Here is a 24,322-nt window from a genome sequence, read left to right as displayed (position 1 = left end):
TCCAGACAGTCTTCTGTTTTAAGAAAGGAGGAGCTACTCAGTAACAACCAGTGGGAGGATCTGTTATAGGTACGTAAGACCTAGACTGAAAATGAGGTAGAGGGAAAGAAGTGAACAGAGATATAGGTCTAGACAAGCCAAGCATATATAGAAACGTGTGGAGCTAAGTTTGATTTAAGAAACTTTAAGGGAAGGAGTAGAGAGTAAAAATGCAAGGCCACTGTTTTCTACTTAATCTGAGGGTAATGTGAGCATTACTAGACATACGTAAATAAAATTCGACCCTTATAGTTACCAGGTTGAAAATAAATTCTTGATTGATTAAAGACGTAAGTATCAAAATTTTTAAAAAGTGAGAATCTTGCCGGTAAATTTTGGAGACTATTTTTACAATCTTGGGGCTGGGTAGACCTTCTTCATCTAGTTTAAAAACTCAGAAGTTATGACAGAAGAGATGGAAATATATCAGTATTGAAAGTTAAGATTTCTCTGTATTTAAAAAGCTAAATCAATGGGAAAATGATATGATCAGAAAAAAATGTAACAGATGATTCTAAAAAGTATTGATTTCTGTAATATGCAAAGTATTCTTACAAACACAAAAACTCAAAATTAAAAGGAATCTCTGACTCTTGGTTTTTTATTCCACCAGGTAGATTAATTTTCTAAATTGTAGCTCTAGTCAAGTCACTCATTGTTCTCTTTTCTTTCTTCTTCACTCCTTGAGTTTGTTGAGGCAATTTAACACATTTATTAGAATTTTCCTTATGCTATACATCCTTTGTTTAAAGTCTTTTTTTAGCACTTACATTACACAATCCCAGATGGAATATATCTATCATCTATCTATCTATCTATCTATCTATCTATCTATCTATCTATCTATCTATCATCTATCTATCTAATCTATCTATCTATCTCTATCATCTATCTATCTATCATCTATCTTTTGTATTTTTTAGCGGTGGCTTGGGAGTTTCTGCAGGGGAGGGTTTCAAATTGTTCTGAGATGAAACTGACTAGGATTCTGAAGAAAGAAGCACTAAATGCCAGAGTGATCATTGCAAAGTGTTTACTAGGGGAACTTATGTACAGAGGAGGCTGCTGTGTATCCTGGTGATGGACAATAAGACAAGGGATGTTCTGCTTAGGTATATCCACAGTGAGAGGGTCAGGTTATGATATTTATCTGAGAGCTTAAGGAATCTGGCTTAGGTCCAGGGTTAGTATCCTTTGGTGTTTGGGGCAATAACCTAAATACCTTTATCAGTGGCTGAAAATGTTCAAGGCCCAGGCCTGGGTTTAGGCCTGCAAGGGAAAACATGCAGCTGGCTGATATCTCTTGATCAGGAAAGAGAAAAAAGTAGGGGCAATGGAGGAATCCTACATGATGGTACATGTATGTGAACGGGTATATTTGTGTGCATGTGTGTCCACAATCCATCCTGGAATTCAGTGGTCTCTTTTCAATCTGAAAAAAATTATTCTATTATTTATTTAAGCACCAAGTCTTCTCCACCTATTCCAATTTCTCTTAATCTATCCAGTAACCATTTTTCCCTCAATTTATCTACTCCTGTCTTTAGTTGCCAAATGATATTCTTAAGCTCTGAATAATATTTCATGTTTCACTTGAATTCCCCTTAAGATCTCTTCCTATTCCAATGCAAGTTGACTTCTTTTTCCTCCTCAATTTGCCTAGCTAGGCATGTGCTCTGATGTTCTGAATCATTTCTCTGGATACCGATTCATTTACATGGGATGGTACATTTTTGATAGCTCATTGGGGCTGATGTCTGGTTATCAGAATGCTCCTTGTGGTCGCTGTTCTACAGGCGGTAAAAGGTGAAGAGGACTACTTCTTTCTGTCCAAGATATAGAAACCAGTAATGCATTCTCTTGCTGATGTACATAGAGAAGGCCTTCCTGTCTCCTCATTTTTAGTCCTTTCCTGGCCTCAGGAAGGACTCAGCCTACTCCTTCATATTTTTCTTAACCTGTGCAGTGCTAGTGCCAGGCATTCTTCATGAAGGGCTGACTTTGACATTTACCAAAGTCCACACCAAGTTCTTTCCAAGATCTGCCACTCTCCCATTCTCATCTTGGAGGTTCCTGAAGCTGTTCTCCAGACACTTGTCTGACCCATTTAGGTGCAATGATATATATTATATACGTCATAATATAAGTGATTTATATTAGCGAGTGTATGAGATTACTTGACCGAAATACATGTTAATTGCCAGAAGCTGAACTGTCTTTAGGGTAACTTCCCTTTTACACATACACATAATTGCATAAAGTAAGGCCCCTTGGTGATCATCTGTGCTGAGGCTGCAGGCCACAGTGCGCATGATTAAATCTTGAGTTCATTATTTTCTCTAGCTGGTTATTTATTTGTGGTGTAGTTAGTATTTTCTGGAGAAAACTATTGAACCGAGTGAAAAATGAACTATCCATGGGATACCCATTATCCCAAACACGGTGTAAAATCCATGATCCACGTCTAGTACTAAGGAATATATGAGGGAGGCAGAGATAGAGCAAACCAGTGAAGGAGAGAGAAAGAGAACATTTTACAAGATATTATTTTATTCATATGCTACCCATTATGCAGATTTAACAGTGTTGGCTACTAAGGATTAGGTGGTAAAATACTACACAGTGGTCGCCATGCTGTGCTTGACCAGAGCTGCCCACTGATTTCCAGATAAAGGCTGCATCTATGACAACAAATTTCTGAATGAAAAATAGAAAATTGTATTCACTAGTTTACATGTTTCTGATTTACTATTTAAAAATGCTTCCCTGGACATTGACATAGCTATGCTTCATATATAAATAAGGATTTAAATTTAGAAGCGAATTATCATCATATTAACTACTACAGACTTCCACTCTATTGTATGCATCAAACCAAAGATACAAACATTAGAAACTTTAATACATCAGATTGTTCAGGATTAGTGTCCTGCTTAACTGAACGTAACCAGAATCCCTCTTCAAATCTTTCTGTAATATATTTGTAAACTTGTCTGCATGCTGATCCAATTAGGAAATATATTAATTTGTTTGATTGTAGGTACTTTTGCAGTCTTGGGGACGTTGAATCTCAGTTCCTACTGGTCAAATCTGTAAAGTACAAGATAGATTAGATGGGTGCTAGTGACCAAACATTTACCTTTTTAAATGCTTATTAATTTTTTAAAAAATAAACTAAACTTCAGTAATTCACTTAGTAATTTCTTCTAAAAACTAACAATAAATGATGACAAATAAAGACAAATAAGTAACGATAATCAGGATATCTGAACATCCTCATAGGTAGGGCGCTTTATTAATTAAGGCTTTATTAAATGTGGCCAGCAATCCTGAATGTGAAAGTATCTCATTTTTTTAATAAACTCTGAGTATTATTAATTTTTTAAGAGAAGAAAGAATATTGAATAATCAAGCATAAATGGAAGTCTTAGATAACTTGGTTTTGCAGGAAATAAACTATGTCTAAAGCAAAATTTAGTATTTTATCTTCCCTCATCATTGTAGATACAACATAATACTTTAGCTCAAGAGAATTACATATTTATCATCATCATTAATTCTCCTCTGTTTTCTGTTCTTTAATTCTACCACCAAAACCCGCTGATCCCAGATGGATTTGCAATTTCTCATCTTTACCACTATTTGAATTCTATTTCAGGACTAAGGCACTGCTATGGCAGTAAAAAAAAGTCAGATTAATTATCTAACATTTTCTTTAATCTATGCTAATATTTTACTGAACTGGCTCAATTAATAGTAATTTGTTTACATGTATTTTTCCACTGTGAATATGAAGGATTTATTTTGCATTTATCCTCTGCTCCCCATGAATTTAAACACCTTGAGGCCAGGGTCCATAGATTTCACTTTCTTTTCTGGTCCTTCACAGACTAAACCTACATTCTGGATGGCACCTATAAATGCGGAGATTTCCACTAGTGAAAGTTGTGTTTCCATTAGTGAAGTTGTTCAAAACAAACAAACCTGTTTTGCTACACGACTGAGCTCCACCGCAATATCCACTCCAGAATTTCCAATGCCGATCACTATGATTCTTTTCCCTGAAAAGTCCTCGGGACTTTTGTATTCCCGACTATGGAAATAACAGCCTTCAAATTTCTCAATGCCTGTGGTGGAAGAACATTTCTTATTATTAGGAGTATTTTTCACATTGCTAACTCAACACATAGAAAGTTATATTCTGGTTCATCTGGAAGAGCAAGACTTTGAGTCTGGGTTAGCTATATGGAACATTACCCTATGTCCTAAAAATGTAATTTTATATTTCACAGAGCTCAGGAAAGCAGGGAGTAAACTCAGACTTAGTACCAATAGATGCTAAATATAGACTAGTGACCATATAAAGTATTTAGTAAATAGTAGATCTATCTGTCTTGGACCTATTCCAAATTGAAAGTTTCACAACAATTTCACTATGATCTAATTTATTCATGATTACATTGTCCTCTGCAGTCTTAGGCAAAATGATGAAGCTGGAAACTGGTTGTTGTTTGGTTTTGTTTCATTATTCTATGAGGAAGTATAGGGCCTTTCTTCATCAACTTGACATCTCCTCTGACTTCCAAGTGCCTAATACCCTCATGTTGTCCCTGGCTCTGCTGAGAGCTTCAGAACAGCCCTAATCTGTGTCTGGCATTCTCGGACATTGTCTCACTCTAGGCGTGTTTGTATCTCTGTCCCCTGAAACCTATTAAAATATATATGTCCCACAAGTGTCTCTGTAGGGTATGTCTCTCAGCCAGGAAGCAAGTCAAAAAGAAGCTGATACATATACTACAGTTATTAATATAACCTATATATTTTGTTATAATTATATAATAATTTCCAGAATATATTGCATTTTAACATTTAGAAAATCAGGTATTTTTATTTTGTAAATGTTTGTGTTGGTGTGCAGACACAGAAAGGTCAGGTATTTGTCATACATGACTGAGCTAGTCAGTTGGACAACCAAAATTCAAGTTTAAGTCCCTTGATTTTCATCTAGGACTCTTCTGTTTTCAGTTTGCCTCAACCTCCAAAGAATTTCTTATGATGGCTTGTTAGACATCATGGAAAGGCACTGAGATATCAAGTATTTCTTGATTGACTTCTGATAGCAATTGATGTAAAGGGAGGGGAAAGGGATCAGAAGTAAAGGGAGAGGCTTTAGTTAGAGGGGATAGGGAAGCTTTTTTGTTTTGTTTTGTTTTGTTTTGTTTTTTCAAGTAATAATCTCATTTGAGATGGGCACCATTTTATCAAACAGAATTCAAAGGAAACAGTAAGTTGCCAGTGTGTTTTTATCAACCACTGCAAACCAGTGATGAATGTTATTTAAAATTTTGTCTCATACTCTAAAATTTCTAAGTTTGTGGATTTGCCAGCTTTTTGCTTGATTTGCTTACCATTTGTCCCTTATTTTTAGTAATTTCACTTTCTCTGAAAGGAAGTGAGATAAGATGAATGGACACAAAACTAAAACCAGTTGAAAGTGGGCCAGGGCTAATTGTTATCATTAATTAGAATCTATTTAAAACTATAGAAAGTAATAAACAAATGTTATGTGTTTGCCTATTTTTGTTGTTTAGTTTTGTCCTGTTAACAGAAATATTGGGCATTTAGTTGTTTGTTATTCAATGTGACCAGAGACTAGTAATAAAGTTCATGCTCAATCATTTTGCTCTGTGGGTTATCTGGAAAGTACTTTTCTACCAAACAGATTCTTAGCGACATACCTGGGAAGGACTGAAGTGGTAAGTAGGGATCTGTGTGGTGTCCACTGCAAACTAAGACCCCATCAAAGACCAAAGTCTCTTGTTTCTCTTCAGTCTCCACAACAACATCCCATTGTCCATTGATAGAAAAATCTGGGTGCTTCCTCACACTTTGCACTTCAGTCTGAGAACAAGATGATACACTATCACAGTCCTCAGGTTTAATCCCTCCTCCCCAAAACCCCATAAGTCTGAGTAATATAACTTATCTGAGACTCTTCTATCTTCATCAGAGGCATTTGCTCTCTCTTTAGTTCCCACTCCCATAGTGACTGCCTTTGCCGTGTGTGCATTTTCAAGATATTGTGGGTATTTTATTTAAAAATCCAATTTTCCATAGAAATAGAAATAGTTGATACTTAATGGGGAAAAAACAGAGGAGTGACTGAAGCTGCAAGAAAAATATCTTTCCAGGATGACTTCCACATGAAAGAGACTAATATTCCTTATATTTTTCATATTTTAGCACAAACTTCTCCAGTTTCCCTGCACTTGGCTTTTGAGTTTCAGACAGGAATTAATATCCCACCATGACTATAGAGATAGATTTTTAAGTGTGAGTAGGGGGTCACAGTGGTAGATTATGGGAACTACATGGATCTGAAAAAAGTCTTCCTTGTGTTGTTTATATGACCTTCATTCTTATTCTACTTACACACAATATAATATGGCTCAATTACTACTGCCACTATTGTAAGTCCTTCAACAGTTGAATTTAAGGCTGACAGAAAGGACCCTTACAATGCCACACCAAAGTCTTGTTAGAATAGGTTCTGTTGGGCAAAATTCTTCAACCTTATATTCAAGTGAAATATTCAAAACATTACTTCTTTATAAGTGGTGATTTTCTAGGGTGGAAGCTCACTGATGATCTCTTCCTCTGATCATACCTGAAGATGCCAAATATAGCTCATGTGTGTACAACTGAGTGTGTCTGCACACATACATGCATGTGTGCTCACATGCACACACACATTTACTATGCAATGATTCATTTAGATTTTACCTTAAAACGAATGTAATTCAGGAGGCCAAAGTGTGTGGCATACATCCCGAAGTAGTCCATGAGTTTGGAGTTGTGCATGTAGTTGGGAAAATGATCAGGGACAGGGAAGTCACTGAAGCACATCATCTCCTTGGAAGTATTGATGGTCACAGATTTGTAGATACTAGGCATTTTCTCTGAAGTATTTTTCTATAGAAGAAAGCTTCTCTTAATAAAATAAGCTTTACAATAACAAGGGAATCTAAATAAAATATTTTAGAGAAGAAAAGTAATCGGGTATAATAAATAACATTGCCTTTTACTTTTCCATGAATATTTTCTCTCTTCTGTCCATATCTACTAGAGAAAAAAGCTACTCTGAATCAACAATAGGCTTATGCTTGATTGCTCAATGGAAATGATAGAAGTCAGAAAAACTGGAATGTTATCTTTAAAATGCTGAAATAAACTTCAATACCCAGTGAAAATATCCATCAAAATTGAAAGTGAAATAAACCTGCATTCAGACAAACAAAAACTGAGAGAATTTCTTGCCAGCAATCCCACACTATGAGAAACATGCAAGGAAGTTCCTCAGGCTAAATGGGAATGAACAAAGATGGAACCATGCAAATACAGGAAGAAATGAAAACACTAGGAATCATAAATATGTGGATAAACATAAAAATATTGACTAAAACATTAGTAACAGTAATATCTTGTGGGGTTTATAAAATATTCAAGTAAAATACATAATAACACAAAGGTCAGAAAATGAGGCTAAACTGTTATAAGAGCTTTGCCTTCTTCAGGTAGAAAGTAATAAGTCAAGGATATGCATTAAAATTAAAAAGGATAATTCAAAAATGGATATCTAAATAATTAATGTACAAAAAAATGAGTAAAACCAAAAGAAAGAAGGAAATGAAGAGTAAAGAAAGAAAGATATAAAACAAATCAAAAGCATACCAGATAGTAAATTAAAACCCAATATATTAATGCTTGATTATATGTAAGCACTCCAATTAAAACAAAAAATAAAATACCAGACAAAAGCCTCTTTATTTTATTTACAAAAAACTAAAGGCAACTGGAGTGGCTACATTAGACAAATTAGATATCGTGGAAATATTAGAGATAAAGAGAAAGAAATAATAACAATATAAAGGTCAATTCTACAGGAAGATATTAAAATCTTAAATTCAAATGCACCTAGTAACATAATTTCAAAATATGTAAGGTAAAAATTAACAGAATCAAAAGGAGAAACTAATATACAAAGTTTTTCTAGGAGAAACTCATAAACTCATATTCATAGCTGGAGAATTAAACTCATCTCACTAACTAATAGAACAATAGAACAAAATTTGGTAAAGGCATAGAATATTGAAGAACATAATTAAACAACTTAATTGATATATATGGACAAATAAACGCTACAAATTTACACATTCTTTTGAGGTACCTATAACATATTTTCCAATATAGGCCTGTGTTGGGACACTTAAAAAGTCTAAATAAATTTTAAAAGATTAAAGTCAGAGTATGAGGCCAGGTGCGGTGGCTCATGCCTGTAATCCCAGCACTTTGGGAGGCCGAGGCAGGTGGATCACTTGAGATGAGGAGTTGGAGACCAGCCTGGCCAACACGGTGAAGCCCCGTCTCTACTAAAAATACAAAAATTAGCTGGGTATGGTGGCGCACGCCTTTAGTCCCAGCTACTCGGAAGGCTGAGGCAGGAAAGTTGCTTGAACCCAGGAGGCAGAGGTTGCAGTGAGCTGAGATTGTGCCATTGCACTCCAGCCTAGGTGACAGAGTGAGACTCTGTCTCAAAACAATAAAAAATAAAAGTAAAATAAAATAAAGTCACAGTATGTTCTTCAATAACAGTGGAATTAAATTAGAAATTAATGAGAAAAAAATAACCAGAAACTCTCCAATTGTTTAGAAATTAACACATCTAAATAACCTTGGGGTCAGAGACTATATTACAAGGACATGAGAAAATGTTTTGAACTGAAAAATAATGAAAAGATAATGCATCAAACTTGTGGATGAAACAAAACAGTGATTAGAGAAAAATGTATAGATTAAATGCATATGTTAGATAAGAAGAAAAAGCTGTAAATGAAATAGCTAAGCTCCAAATCAAGAAGCTAGATAGGAGCTCCCAGAGAGCTGAACCCATGGAAGCTGACAGGAAGGTGAATCAGTAAAGATAAATTTTGACGTTTTTTGTCGACGATAATTGGTGCCCTACACAGGTGTCTCAGAGAAGACTCAGAACTCCCGAAGGAGTTGCCTGAACCCAGATCTAAGGTACCAGCAGGGGCCCATTGAAAGATCCCCCGACTTCACGCTTCCCCTCTGGTGGAGCTGCAAGAATTATCAGTGGAATTTAAGATAGTCAACTAGACACAGCCAGGAAACACATCTCCCTCCAAGAGACTAGGACATGGGAGGACTGGCACACTCAGAGCAGATCTTCAGAAGGAAGAAATGAGAGTGGATGGAGGGAGGACGCAGGTGCTGGCCTGAAGAGGGAGGAAGCTGAGAAGCCTGCATGAGGCAGCTGAGCACCAGGACTCATTCCTAACCCCCAGCAACTCCTGGGAAAGGGGTGAGTTGAACAGGTGACCTGCTCTTACTGTAGACTTCTGTAATCCTAGCAGCAAGAGACCCCATACCTCCCATGGACACTTGAGCTGACAGGAAAAGCTGCTTACAGAGGTGGTGGGGCAGGACTCAAGCAAATTCAGAGCCCAGAGGGTTAGGCATAGTGGAGCATGGCTGGAGCACCCATCTCCCAAGGCTCACTGTGTTCTTCTAGGAGACTTTAGCTTTAGTGTGACATTGGACTTGGACAGAGCAGGGTGGTCTTGCCTGTAGGATCAGGACAGTCTGATCTGAGTACCCCATCTGCTGGCCTCACCTGGGGTCCCAGCCTGGCTGCACCCGCTGGCAGTGCAACCATGGATGCCCAGCTAGGGTGCTTCCCAGGTCTTTCATCATAGCTCCTTCTTGGGCTGCCTGCATCCAACTATAGGAGAACTCCAGCAGAGAGCCACCCTTCCCCCACCAACACACAAGTAAAAGTAATAATCTGTATACCAAATCCCTGTGACATGCAATTTACCTATATAACAAGCATGCACATGTACTGCTGAACCTAAAATAATTTTTTTAAAAAACAACCTAGATATACAATAAAATAAACATAAAAATGAAGAAAAAGAAAATAATAAAAATATAAGCTGAAATCATTGAAATATAAATTAAATGAGCAGTACATGGCATGATATTGTTTGTTATTTTAGAGGATTAAGAAAATTAATAAATCCCTAGCAAGATTAACTACCCCCAAAAAGAGAAAACATAAATTGTCAATATTAGGAATAAAAATAAAATAACACTATAGAATCTAAACATAATAAAAAATATTTTAAGAGGTTATTATGAATAATATCCCTCAAACTGTTGACTTAGAAAAAAGGACAAATTCCTTGAAAAACAATACTTACCAATCTGACATGAAAAGAAAAAGAAAATCTGAAATCCTTGTATCTGTTGAATTTGTCATTAAAAAGCTTCTTACAAAGAAAACTGGCTCAGATAGCTTCAGTATTGAATTCTTCCAAACATTTAAAGAAAATAAAATAATGCCAATAGTACAGAAATTATTTAAGAAAATAGAAAAAGCAGAAACATTTCTCAACTCATTTCATAATCTTGAGTTAGAATGACCTTGATATCAAACCTGACATAGGCATTATAAGAGGGGAAAATTATAATACAAGGTCTCATAAACATTGATGAAAATTATATTTTAGCAAGTTAGAAATATCAGAAAAAAATTAATCTAGCAATGTAATCTAGCAATGACTAAAAATATTTTCAAATGATCAAGTAGGTTTTTCTGAAGACAAAAATTTATTTTATCATGTGAATATTAATCTATAAAATGTGTTGCACTAACATAACAATGCTAATTATTGAGATGTTGATCTCAGGTGATGTAGAAAAATCATTTTATAAATGTTAACATATGTTTGTGACTTTAAAAAACTCTCCATAAACTATTTATAGATGGAAATTTTCTTAATCTACAAAAATCTTAGCTAACATCATGCTTACTGGTAAAATACTGAGCAGTTTTTCTTTTAGGCGAGGTTGGGAAGAGTAAAAAGATATCTTCTATTAGCACTTTTATGTAACATTATTCTTAAGGACCCAGCTAATGCAATAAAGAGCAAAAAGAAACAAAAGTCATAAATATTGGAAAGTGAGAAGTAAATCTGTTATTAAGCATAGAAGTCATGATTATGTACATAGCAAATCCAAAATAATCTACATTCAAAGCATTACAAAATTTAGCAATGTTGCTGGTTACAAGGCTCACATAAAAATTAATGGTTTGATATACTAGCAACAAATTGAAAAGTGAAATTTCATAACAGCTGTTATTTACAATAACATAAAAAACATCAAATACTTAAGAATAATCTAACAAAAGATATGCGAGGCTTCTACATGATTGCTGAGAGAAGTGAAAAAGTCATAAATAAATAGAGAGAGATACTATTACATAAATGAGATGACTCAGCATTATTACAAATTTAATCCTTTCCAACTACATCCATAAAGCCAATGCAATCCCAAATAATATTCCAGCAGATATTTTTGTGAAATTGACAGCTATTTCTAAAACTTATATTAAAATGTAGAGATCCTTGAAAATTAAAGAAAATACTTATGAAGAAAAACAAAAATACCAAACTTTACTATAAAGATACAGCAATGATGCATGGATAGAAACATGGACCAGTGAAACAGACTAAGAAACAAACTCACACATAAACAGCCACCAAATTTCCAAAAATGAATGAATAAATAAAAGGCACTATTGTAACTCAATGGGGGAAATAATGGTCTTTTCAATAAATGGTGCTATATCCACTGGATATCCGTATGTGGGAAAAATGAACGGGATCCTTATATCTCACCATACACAAAAAGTAATTCAAAATGGATCATAAATCCAAACATTAAAGGTACAGCAATAACAGTTCTGAAGGAAATACAAGAAACCATCTTCAGGACTTTGGGATAAATAAAAGTTTCTTATCTATAATACAAATAATTACAAACCATTAAAAAACTGGATAAAGTGGGCTTCATTAAAATCTTGAGCCTCTGTCAAAAGTTATACTATCTTTATGACAATAAAAACACATAACACATACTAGGAGATATTCACAACAAATGCATGCAACAAAAGACTCATATACAAAATATAAAAAACAATTCTTACCAAAGAAAAAAGATAGACGAATTAGATTGACAATGGACAGAAGACTTGAACAAATTTTTAACAAATGAGAATATCTATGCCAATAAGCATATTACAAGATGTTCAGCATCTGTACGCATGAGGGAAATACAAAGCAAAACTACAATCAATACCACTCCATATCTACCAGAATGGTCAAAATAAAAAGACTAACAATACTAAGCATTTGGAAGGATGTGGAGCTCTCATACGTTATTGGTGGAAATGTAAATTGATACATTCATTTTAGAACACTGCTTGGCAATATCTACTGATGCTTAAACTTTGAGCCAGTATTTTACTCCTAGGAATATTCCCAAAAGAAATAAATTCGTATCCACCAAAAGGCATGTGCAAGAATTTTCACAATTGCCAAATAGTAAAAACAACCCAAATTTCTACCAAAAAAGAAAGAGTAAATACATTGTGGTATATTCAAACAATGGAATACTATGCAACAATTAAAGTTTTTAGATGAATTAAAGCTATTCTCATATAATGAATACATTTGACATACACAAATGATGGGTGAAAGAAACCAGACACAAAATTTTATCAACAGGAGACTAAGTGAATAAATTGCAGTGTTTTCATATACTGGAATACTACACATTAATGGTAAATAGAAAAATAAACTACTGCTACATACACGATTTGAATAAATCTCAACCACATACATTAAAAGTCAAAAAAATACAAAAAATAGTATAAATGCATTATTTCAAAGACAATCAGGAGTAATTAATGGTGATAGACATCAAAATAGTGGTTATTCTGGGAATGGCTAAGTATTGACTAGGAAGAAACACACGGAACTATTTTAAGATTCTGGATATAGTCTATATCTTACTTAAGCAGTAGTTGTATAGATATATAAATATGTAAGAATTATCAAGCTGTACACATAAGATCAGCTTACTTTATGTATTTTAATGCATACATTACACCTCAGCACAATTTTTAAAATAAGAAAGATAGAAGGTTTTACATTGAACAATAAAGTAAAATCAGATTTTATGCAGGCAAACCTAAAATAAAATGAAGTAAAATTGAAAATTAAGTGATGGAAAAATATGCTTATCAAGTTATAACAAAAATATCTACTTTAGTAATATTTTAATTTTACTTTTAATTTTAAATTCATGCATACCTGTGATTAATAGCACACAATATAATTAAAGGTAAAAGGAACAAAAAGATATTTCATATGGATAAAAGGAACTATCCACTAAGAAGATATAATAGACACAAACCTTTTTTAAATATATGATAAACATTCAAAAAGAAATAGAAAAAAGTCAACATATAAGAAATTATAAAATATTTTTTAAAAATCCATGTATCTAGAAACCTGGTACAGTTTGCTGTGATCTCCCATTGGAATATTATTGAGTAGCTTTCAAACTGGACAATTTTCTTTAGCGTTTCTTTGTTTTATTCTCAACAGAGCAATCAGGGTTGTCTTTTATAATTAAAACACAAGCTGTAGAACATTGCTCCTTTATTTAAAACCATCTCATGGTTTTAATCTATATGGAAGTCAAAGTCCTTATCATGGCCTCTAAATGCCAATATGATCTGGACTCCCATTCCCCTTCTGACCACCTCCTAGACTTCTTCCTCTGGGCCACTACGGTCTAGACCCACTGGCTCCCTGACTTTTCTCTAACATACAAGGCATGCTCCCACCTCACAGCTCTGCACTTGAAGATTCCTCTGAATCCCCTTCCCCAGATCTCTTCTCAGCTTTCTTTCTTACTTTACAATTCTTTGTCAAAAATCATTTTGAGGCTTTTCATGACCACTTATTTAATTTATATTCGTGAAACTCTCATTTCCTGGTTTATTTTTCTCTATTATACTTACCAGCACTAACCATGCTACTTTTTAATTTAATTATCCTTTCCCATTAGAATGTAAACCTTTTAAGGGCAAGGATTTTTGTATTCATATTTACTAATATATTTCCTGGCACCTAGAAAAGTTTCTGACACATAGTAGGGCCCAAAAAATATTTGTTGAATGAATGCACTCTTAAAGAAGAAACAAAATGGGTATTATAGGACTTTTAGAACTGAAGGTCAATTAAAGCCACACACAAGAAAATCCAAAGGTTATGGAGGAATGGAGGAATATTTGAATGACCCTAACATCAGGTTGGAGGGTCTATCTGAATGCTGCTTGGGCACTGATTTGCTCTAGTGGCACCTGAGGAAAGTCCCTGTGGGGCAGCAATGTTGATAACTTTGCCTCAAGCCCACTCTCCACATTCTGGATGGAGAGTGTTCTGGCTCTTGAAACATGGCCTGGGTGGGCACAAGAGCCAGGAGCAAGAGAACGAAATCTGCTCATTCATGCACACCCCGTGAGAAAGCCAGCCATGACTGGTGAGCAGAGTGGCTCTCTGGTATTATCAGAACTGGAAAATACTGACCAGAAGTGCTGGACTTCAAGGGCACTTCCAAAGATGGCAGAATGAAGCACCAAAAGAAGATGAGACCACCCAGGAACTTAAGCCTATTCAACGTTTGGCACCAAGTTTGAATTCCTCATGGCAATAAATCTCCTGCTGCCAAGAACTGAGAGAAATAAAAAGTCATTGCCCTCTGATTGACAAGATAAGATACCATGCAGTGGCCAGTCAGTCAGCAGGTGTGACCACAGAAGAGAAGATGAGATTACATGGGAGAAGCCCAGCAATAGATCATCCTACCCTACCCTATACCCATGCTAAGTCAGGGGAAAAAATAGTGTGACATCTCTAACTTTGAGCACAATATCATCTGATCAGTTGAAAGAATCCTCAACCACTATATCTTTCTAATATTTTTGATGACCACATGGAATCTCAGCTACCCTGAAGAGAATCTGATAAATTTCATGGCTTAATCTGAAATTGACATATATTCATATAATTCCTCAGTTAATCCATAATATAAGCAAGAATATTAGAGTCATTACATAATTCCTAATATGTGATGTGCTGTATGTTTCCTCTGAGGAAACCAGCATCAAATTGTTCTAGCTATTTTTTTTTAAAGTTACATGCCTAAAACCAAATGAAATCTAAACTTACTTGAAATTTCCAGAGATGTCCAATATCATCATTTCTTTCAAAGCAGGTGGGCTCCAGATCTTCATCCAGGCAGCACTTGATGGCCCCCAGTCCGCTAATTCCAGCTCCAATCACAGCAATCGCTTTTTGGCCATTGTGTCTCAGCTGGTTAGTAGAAATTTAGAGCTCTGTCACTGTCATCCATCCCATTTAAAAAAAATTACTTGTCACAAGGACCTTCAGTCTGTTGCCCTAAATTTTCACTATTCTTATTAACAATGAGAACACCAGTATGTTGATTACCAATCAGGGACTATGATAGGTATAGGGACACAAAAGTATACAGAAATAAATATTCCTTCCTCCCACCAAATTTCTCGGTATAGTCAGAGAGAGAAATGCAAACATATAATTTTCAGGCTATGTGATAAATGTAATAGTACCATCATACCCTGTGTGCTATGAGCAGGCAGCACAAGGAAGGAATATCTGACCTGCTGCGGAAGTGACACAGTACAAAAACCTAAGGATGAATGACTAGGAATCAGCTAGGTAAGAGGCCAGGAAGGGAGGTGTGTGTGTGTGTGTGTGTGTGTGTGTGTGTGTGTGTGTGTGTGTGTATGCTCGCACATGTGCATGTGTGTGTGCATGTGTGTGGATCGTGTGACATTCCAGGTAGCAGAGACAACATGAGTGAAGCCAGAAGTGATAAATGCAGAAGAATATGGAGAAACATAAGAAGTTCAGTGAGATAAGGACATCCATTAGATGTACGAAGGTTGTGTCCATTTGTGATCCTTGCTAGAGAAGTTTCAGTGTGCTGGGTGTGGTGGCTCATGCCTGTAATTTCAATACTTTTGGAGGCCCATGTGAGAGGATCACTTGAGGCCAGGAGTTCAAGACCAGCTTGAGCAACATAGAGAGACCCCATCTCTCAAAAACATTTTTAAATTGAGCTGGGCATGGTGGTGCACATCTGTAGTCCTAGCTGCTTGGGAGGTTGAAGTGGTGGGATAGCTTGAGCCTAGGAGTTTGAGGCTACATTGAGCCATGATTGTACCACTGCACTCCAGCCTGGGCGACAGAATGAGACCCTGTCTCTAAAAAGAAGGAGAGAGAGAGAAAGAGAGAGAGAGAAGTTTCAGTGGAGTAGGAGGGTAGAAGCCGTCTTACAATAGTTTGAGAAGAAAATAAGACCAGATTAAGTAGACACACTGACCAGTAATTACACTGTAGAAAAGCCTATGAAAGCAAAGTAAATCCAACATATTGATTTTTTTCTCTCTTATTTAATGATCTGATAAAAGCTGACTGAAATAACAGAAATTTCTTTAAAACTATATATTCAAAATTATTATAAAAATACCAAAACTTAGTATCTCTAAGCCATAGATTGTACATTCATTCATTTACTCCTTATTTATTTGTTCAACAAACACTTATTGACTCCTAACAGTGGACCAGGTACTGTGCTTGTTGCTGAGGCCACAGAGAAGAATATGACACGGTTCTAGACCTCAAGGCCTCAACCTAAAGGGAGAAGAGGGTGGTGCAGATAAAGTTAAAGACACTACATTGCAACTGCTGAGTTTAAGATACATGCTGTAGGGAAAAGAAACAGAGATCAGACTATTACCGTGTCTGAGTAGAAAAGGAAGACATAAGATACTCCATTTTGATCTGTACCCTGAACAATTGTTTTGCCCTGAGATGCTGTTAATCTGTAACTTTGCCCCAACCTTGAGCTCACAGAAACATGTGTTTATGGAATCAAGGCTTAAGAGATCTAGGGCTGTGCAGGATGTGCCTTGTTAACCATATGTTTACAGGCAGTATGCTTGGTAAAAGTCATCGCCATTCTCCATTCTCGATAAACCAGGGGCACAATGCACTGCGGAAAGCCACAGGGACCTCTGCCCCGGAAAGCCGGGTACTGTCCAAGGTTTCTCCCTGCTGAGATAGCCTGAGATATGGCCTCGTGGGATGGGAAAGACCTGACCACCCCCAGCTCGACACCTATGAAGGGTTTGTGCTGAGGAGGATTAGTAAAAGAGGAAGGCCTCTTGCAGTTGAGATAAGAGGAAGGCCTCTGTCTCCTGCCTGCCCCGGGAATGGAACGTCTTGGTATAAAACCCGATTGTACATTTGTTCAATTCTGAGATAGGAGAATCCCTGTGGAGGGAGGTGAGACATGCTGGCAGCAATGCTGCTCTATTACTCTTTACTCCACTGAGATGTTTGGGTGTGGAGAAGCATAAATCTGGCCTATGTGCACATCCAGGCATAGTACTTTCCCTTGAGCTTATTTGTGACACAGATTCCTTTGCTCACATGTTTTCTTGCTGACCTTCTCCCCACTGTCACCCTGTTCTCCTGCCACATTCCTCTTGCTGAGATAGTGAAAATAGTAATCAGTAAATACTGAGGGAACTCAGAGACCGGTGCCAGTGCAGGTCCTCCGTATGCTGAGTGCCAGTCCCCTAGGCCCACTTTTCTTTCTCTATACTTTGTCTCCGTATCTTATTTATTTTCTCAGTCTCTTGTCCCGCGTGACGAGAAATACCCACAGGTGTGGACGGGCTGGCCCCCTTCACCCGCCGCCCAACATGGGTGCCTTTCTCCAAGGTGAAGTTACGCTAAGAACGTGAGCATTGAGGACAGTGGATGAGAGATTCCCGGGTATGTCCACTGTCAGCACAAGTAAATAGAATAGATCACTTAGTCCCACTCCAACTTTTGATTTTTGCTACTGCACATTTGCCAACAGGCATTATTGTTCCAATGGATTTTGTGGAGTGGTCATTCCTTCTTCATAGTACAATTAAGACTTTTACATTGTACTTAGATCAAATGGCTACATTAACTGGTCAGACAAGATTACGAATAATAAAATTGTGTGGAAGTGACCCAGATAAAATCATTGTTCCTTTAAACAAGGAACAGGTTAGACAAGCCTTTATCAATTCTGGTGCATGGAAGATTGATCTTGCTGATTTTGTGAGAATTATTGACAGTCATTACCCAAAAACAAAAATCTTCCAGTTTTAAAAATTGACTACTTGGATTTTACCTAAAAATGCCAGACATAAACCTTTAGAAAATGCTCTGACGGTATTTACTGATGGTTCCAGCAATGAAAAAGCAACTTACACCAGGCCAAAAGAACGAGTCCTTGAAACTCAATGTCACTCGGCTCAAAGAGCAGAGTTGTTGTTGTCAATTCAGTGTTACAAAATTTTAATCAGCCTATTAACATTGTATCAGATTCTGCATATGTAGTACAGGCTACAAAGGATGTTGAGACAGCCCTAATCAAATATGGTGTAGATGATCTGTTAAACCAGCTGTTTAACTTGTTACAACAAACTGTAAGAAAAAGAAATTTCCCATTTTATATTACTCATATTCGACCACATACTAATTTACCAGGGCCTTTAACTAAAACAAATGAACAAGCTGACTTGCTAGTATCATCTGCATTCCTGGAGGCACAGGAACTTCATGCCTTGACTCATGTAAATGCAACATGATTAAAAATAAATTTGATATCACATGGAAACAGGCAAAAAATATTGTACAACACTGCACCCAGTGTCAAGTTCTACACCTGCCCACTCAGGAGGCAGGAGTTAATCCCAGAGGTCTGTGTCCTAATGCATTATAGCAAATGGAATCACACATGTACCTTCATTTGGAAAATTGTCATTTGTCCATGTGACAGTTGATACTTATTCACATTTTTTATGGGCCACCTGCCAGACAGGAGAAAGTACTTCCCATGTTAAAAGACATTTATTATCTTGTTTTGCTGTCATGGGAATTCCAGAAAAAATTAAAACGGATAATGGGCCAGGATACTGTAGTAGAACATTTCAAAAATTCTTAAATCAGTGGAAAATTACACATACAACAGGAATCCCCTATAATTCTCAAGGACAGGCCATAATTGAAAGAACTAGTAGAACACTCAAAGCTCAATTGGTTAACCAAAAAAGGAAAAAGACAGTGAGGACTACAACCCTTCCCAGATGCAACTTAATCTAGCACTCTATACTTTAAATTTTTTAAACATTTATAGAAATCAGACCACTACTTCCGCAGAACAACATTTTACTGGTAAAAAGAACAGCCCACATGAAGGAAAACTGATTTGGTGGAAAGACAACAAAAATAAGACTTGGGAAATAGGAAAGATGATAACATGGGGGAGAGGCTTTGCTTGTGTTTCACCAGGAGAAAATCAGCTTCCTGTTTGGATACCCACTAGACATTTAAAGTTCTACAATGAACCCATCAGAGATGCAAAGAAAAGTGCCTCCGCAGAGACAGAAAACCTGCAATCGAGCATCATCGACTCGCCAGGTGAACAAAATGGTGATATCAGAAGAACAGATGAAGTTGCCATCCACAAAGGAAGCGGAGCTGCCGACCTGGGCCCAACTAAAGAAGCTGACACAGTTAGCTGAAAAAAGCCTGAAGAAAACAAGGGTAACACAAACTCCAGAGAATATGCTGCTTGCAGTTTTGATGATTGTATCTACCGTGGTAAGTCTCCCCATGTCTGCAGGAGCAGCTGCAGCTAATTATACTTACTGGGCCTATGTGCCTTTCCTGCTCTTAATTTGGGCAGTCATATGGATGGATAATCATTGAAGTATATGTTAATAATACTGCATGGGTACCAGGCCCCACAGATGATTGCTGCCCTGCCCAACCTGAAGAAGAAGGAATGATGATAAATATTTCCATTGGGTATAATTATCCTCCTATTTGCCTAGGGAAGGCACCAGGTTGTTTAATGCCTACAACCCAAAATTGGTTGGTAGAAGTACCTACTGTCAGTGCACCAGTAGATTTACTTATCACATGGTAAGTGGAATGTCACTCAGGCCACAGATAAATAATTTACAAGACTCTTCTTATCAAAGATCGTTAAAATGAGCTTTGGGCCAAAGGGAAGCCATGCCCCAAGGAAATTCCCAAAGAATCAAAAGACCCAGAAGTCTTAGTTCGGGAAGAATGTGTGGCTGATACTGCGGTCGTATTACAAAACAATGAATTTGGAACTATTATAGACTGGGCCCCTCGAGGCCAATTATATTATGATTGTACAGGCCAGACCTACTCATATTCACAGGCCCCATCCGTCTGGCCCATTAATCCTGCCTTTGATAGTGATTTAACTAAAAGGCTGGACCAGGTTTATAGAAGGTTAGAATCACCCTATCCATGGAAATGGGGTGAAAAGGGAATTTCACCATCTTGACCAAAGTTAGTTAGTCCTGTTACTGGTCCTGAACATCCGGAATTATGGAAGCTTACTGTGGCCTCGCACCATATTAGAATTTGGTCTGGAAATCAACTATAGGAACAAAGAATCATAAGCCATATTATACTATCAACCTAGATTCCAATCTGACAATTCCTTTGCAAAGTTGTGTAGAACCCCCTTATATGCTAGTTGTAGGAAACATAGATTAAACCAGATTACCAAACTATAACCTGTGAAAATTGTAGATTGTTTACTTGCATTAATTCGACTTTTAATTGGCAGCACCATATTCTGCTAGTGAGGGCAAGAGAGGGTGTGTGGATCCCTGTGTCCATGGACTGACCGTGGGAGGCTTCGCCATCTGTCCATATGTTAACAGAAGTATTAAAAGGAATTCTAACTAGATCCAAAAGATTCATTTTTACTGTGATTGCAGTGAATATGGGTCTTATTGCAGTCACAGCTACTCAGAATTGTGGAACTCTGAGACCCAAATAGATCAAAAATTGGCAAACCAAATTAATGATCTTATACAAACTGTCATTTGGATAGGAGATAGGCTCATGAGCTTGGAATATCTTTTTCAGTTACAGTGTCACTGGAATACATCAGATTTTTGTATTACACCCCAAGCCTATAATGAGTCTGAGCATCACTGGGACATGATTAGATGCCATCTACAAGGAAGAGAAGGTAATCTTACTTTAGATATTTCAAAATTAAAAGAACAAATTTTTGAGGCATCGAAAGCCCATTTAAATTTGGTGCCAGGAACTGAGGCAATCGTAAAGGCTACTGATGGCCTTACAAATCTTAACCCCATCACTTGGGTTAAAACTATCAAAAGTTCCACTATTGTACATTGTGTATTAATCCTTGTATGCCTGTTCTGTCTGTTGTTAGTCTACAGGTGTATCCAACAGCTCTGAAGAGACAGAGACCAAAGAGAATGGGCCATGATGACTATGGCAGTTCTGTCAAAAAGAAAAGGGGGATATGTAGGGGAAAGAAAGAGAGATCAGACTGTTACTGTGTCTATGTAGAAAAGGAAGACATAAGAAACTCCATTTTGATCTGTACCCTGAACAATTGTTTTGCCCTGAGATGCTGTTAATCTGTAACTTTGCCCCAACCTTGAGCTCACAGAAACATGTGTTTATGGAATCAAGGTTTAAGGGATCTAGGGCTGTGCAGGATGTGCCTTGTTAACCATATGTTACAGGCAGTATGCTTGGTAAAAGTCATCGCCATTCTCCATTCTCGATAAACCAGGGGCACAATGCACTGTGGAAAGCCACAGGGACCTCTGCCCTGGAAAGCCAGGTATTGTCCAAGGTTTCTTCTCCCTGAGATAGCCTGAGATATTGTGGGATGGGAAAGACCTGATCATCCCCCAGCCTGACACCTATGAAGGGTCTGTGCTGAGGAGGATTAGTAAAAGAGGAAGGTCTCTTGCAGTTGAGATAAGAGGAAGGCCTCTGTCTCCTGCCTGCCCCGGGAACAGAATGTCTCGGTATAAAACCTGATTGTACATTTGTCCAATTCTGAGACAGGAGAAAAACCGCCCTGTGGAGGGAGGCGAGACATGCCGGCAGCAATGCTGCTCTGTTACTCTTTACTCCACTGAGATGTTTGAGTGGAGAGAAGCATAAATCTGGCCTATGTGCACATCCAGGCATAGTACCTTCCCTTAAACTTATTTGTGACACAGATTCCTTTGCTCACATGTTTTCTTGCTGACCTTCTCCCCACTGTTACCCTGTTCGCCTGCTGCATTCCTCTTGCCGAGATAGTGAGAATAGTAATCAGTAAATACTGAGGGAACTCAGAGACCGGTGCCAGTGCGGGTCCTCCGTATGCTGAGCGCCAGTCCCCTGGGCCCACTTTTCTTTCTCTATACTTTGTCTCTGTGTCTTATTTCTTTTGTCAGTCTCTCGTCCCATCTGATGAGAAATACCCACAGGTGTGGAGGGGCTGGCCCCCTTCAACATGCGAACAGTGCTTCAATCTTGCTGAATCATTTGTAGTGACTTTGTAAACTCATGCCGTTTCTTCATGAAAATGTCATTTGTTGAAAATGCTGTTTACACTGCAGAAGTGACCTCCCCTTTCTCTTGGTTATTTCCTATGTAAAACCTTCCCCAAACTTCTCAGGCATCATTAAGCCCAACCATCTTGGTGACCATACAGTGTTTTGCATACATCTCTATCATTGCATTTCCCATATCATTTTATTAGTTATTATCCTGTCTTATCTTGATTGAATAATAAGCACCTAGAGATTTGAGACTTATAGCTAATAAATATCTACAGAATAAAATTTGAGTGAATGAATTAATTTCTAAACTTCCCTACTTTTCTTTTACTTGCTAACATAGTCGGGCAATCAGAATACTACATCATGTAATTATAATTAGATAAAATATGTTAATGCCTATCCCCACGTTTCCCACCACAAAACAATATATAGTATAAGGCAAAGATGAGAGACCAACCTTTGGAAAGAAGGAAATCCAAATTTAATTTCAGCTTCTTAATGAAAGTAGATATATTGGCTCCTTCTCTCTTCTTGAAAACAGTCATTCCACAGCAACTTGAAGATATGTATAGGTTATCAGATTAGTTAATGTATAATCCCTTCCCATGAGTCTTACAATTTGGATTTAAAAAATTGCCATGAGCCTTTTAGGGATGGGCTGGGACCATGTCTAATGTGATGGTATTTATAATTTACCTACTAATATTGGTCTGCAATACATTTTAATGCTAATTGACATATTTTAAAGACCACTCAAATGAAATCATTTTCATTGGCTGGGAAAAGTATAACAAATATGTTGGGAAATAAACAATCTCATTAATTCACTAGTCAGAAGTCAAAACCTTTGTATCTTTTTAGATAATTTAATATTAAGAAAAATTATAGTGTAGACAATGAAAATGTCCATTTAAGGCATATAACTTTTATGAGAAAACAAAATAAGATAAAAATTACAGAAGAAATATATCAGATTGTTACTAATTATTAAACTCATGTGAGAGAACTATGAGTGATGGTGTTTTTAATCTATATACCTTTCTATACAAAATACATAAACATAAAACAAGTAAAAATGGTCGTTATTAAATACCTAGATTTTGGGCTCTCACTTACAACCTAGGAAGAATTTTAGACCCACATCTTTGAGTTGAAAGGGAAATTTAAAAGTCATCTAGTCCATTTTTTTAACAAGCTTAGGAATCCTCTTTACAGTACAGCTCACTTCGTTTATCAAGTCTCAACCACACACCATGATGAGGCTGCTGCTGTTTCATAGACAGTATATTCATTTTCAAAAAGCTCTGATTATTAGAAAGTTCTTTCTTACCTTACATTAACACCTGCTTCTCTTATATACAATAGTCCTTGTTCTGTGCTTCTATTCTGTTTTCCGTATGATGACTTTGAGACAACTGTCACCTTATCTAGCCTTCTCTTTCACCAAAGAAATTTCCTCATTTCACTTAACTGGTTTTTTGTTTGTTGTTGTTGTTTTTGTTTTTTTGAGACAGAGTCTCACTCTGCCACCCAGGCTGGAATGCAGTGATGTGATCTCGGCTCACTGCAACTTCCGCCTCCTGGGTTCAAGTGATTCTCCTGCCTCAGTCTCCCAAGTAGCTGGGTTTACAGGCGTGCACCACCACACCCGGCTAATTTTTGTATTTTTAGGAGAGACAGGGTATCACCATGTTGGCCAGGCTGGTCTGGTGCTCCTGACCTCAAGTGATCCGCCCACCTTGGCCTCCCAAAGAACTGGAATTACAGGTGTGAGTCACTGTGCCCTGCCTAACTGTTCTCTTAATACAAGTTGTGACATGGTACCTA

General features: G+C 37.0%; 1 pseudogene across 1 annotated transcript; it reads right to left on the bottom strand.

Annotated features, from left to right (window-relative positions):
- Positions 1-2,571: 2,571 nt before the first annotated feature.
- Positions 2,572-23,894, bottom strand: FMO9P (flavin containing dimethylaniline monoxygenase 9, pseudogene; annotated as a pseudogene). The gene is given in 7 exon segments (NR_002925.2): positions 2,572-3,129; positions 4,024-4,166; positions 5,778-5,940; positions 6,823-7,011; positions 15,207-15,350; positions 22,953-23,050; positions 23,826-23,894. The product of NR_002925.2 is annotated as a flavin containing dimethylaniline monoxygenase 9, pseudogene (transcript).
- Between the last annotated feature and the right edge of the window lie 428 nt (positions 23,895-24,322).

Source organism: Homo sapiens, chromosome 1 (assembly GCF_000001405.40).
Source record: "Homo sapiens chromosome 1, GRCh38.p14 Primary Assembly".
NCBI lineage: Eukaryota > Metazoa > Chordata > Mammalia > Primates > Hominidae > Homo > Homo sapiens.
The sequence above is the reverse complement of the archived record's forward strand: the minus strand, read 5'-3'. Positions and strand labels throughout refer to the sequence as shown.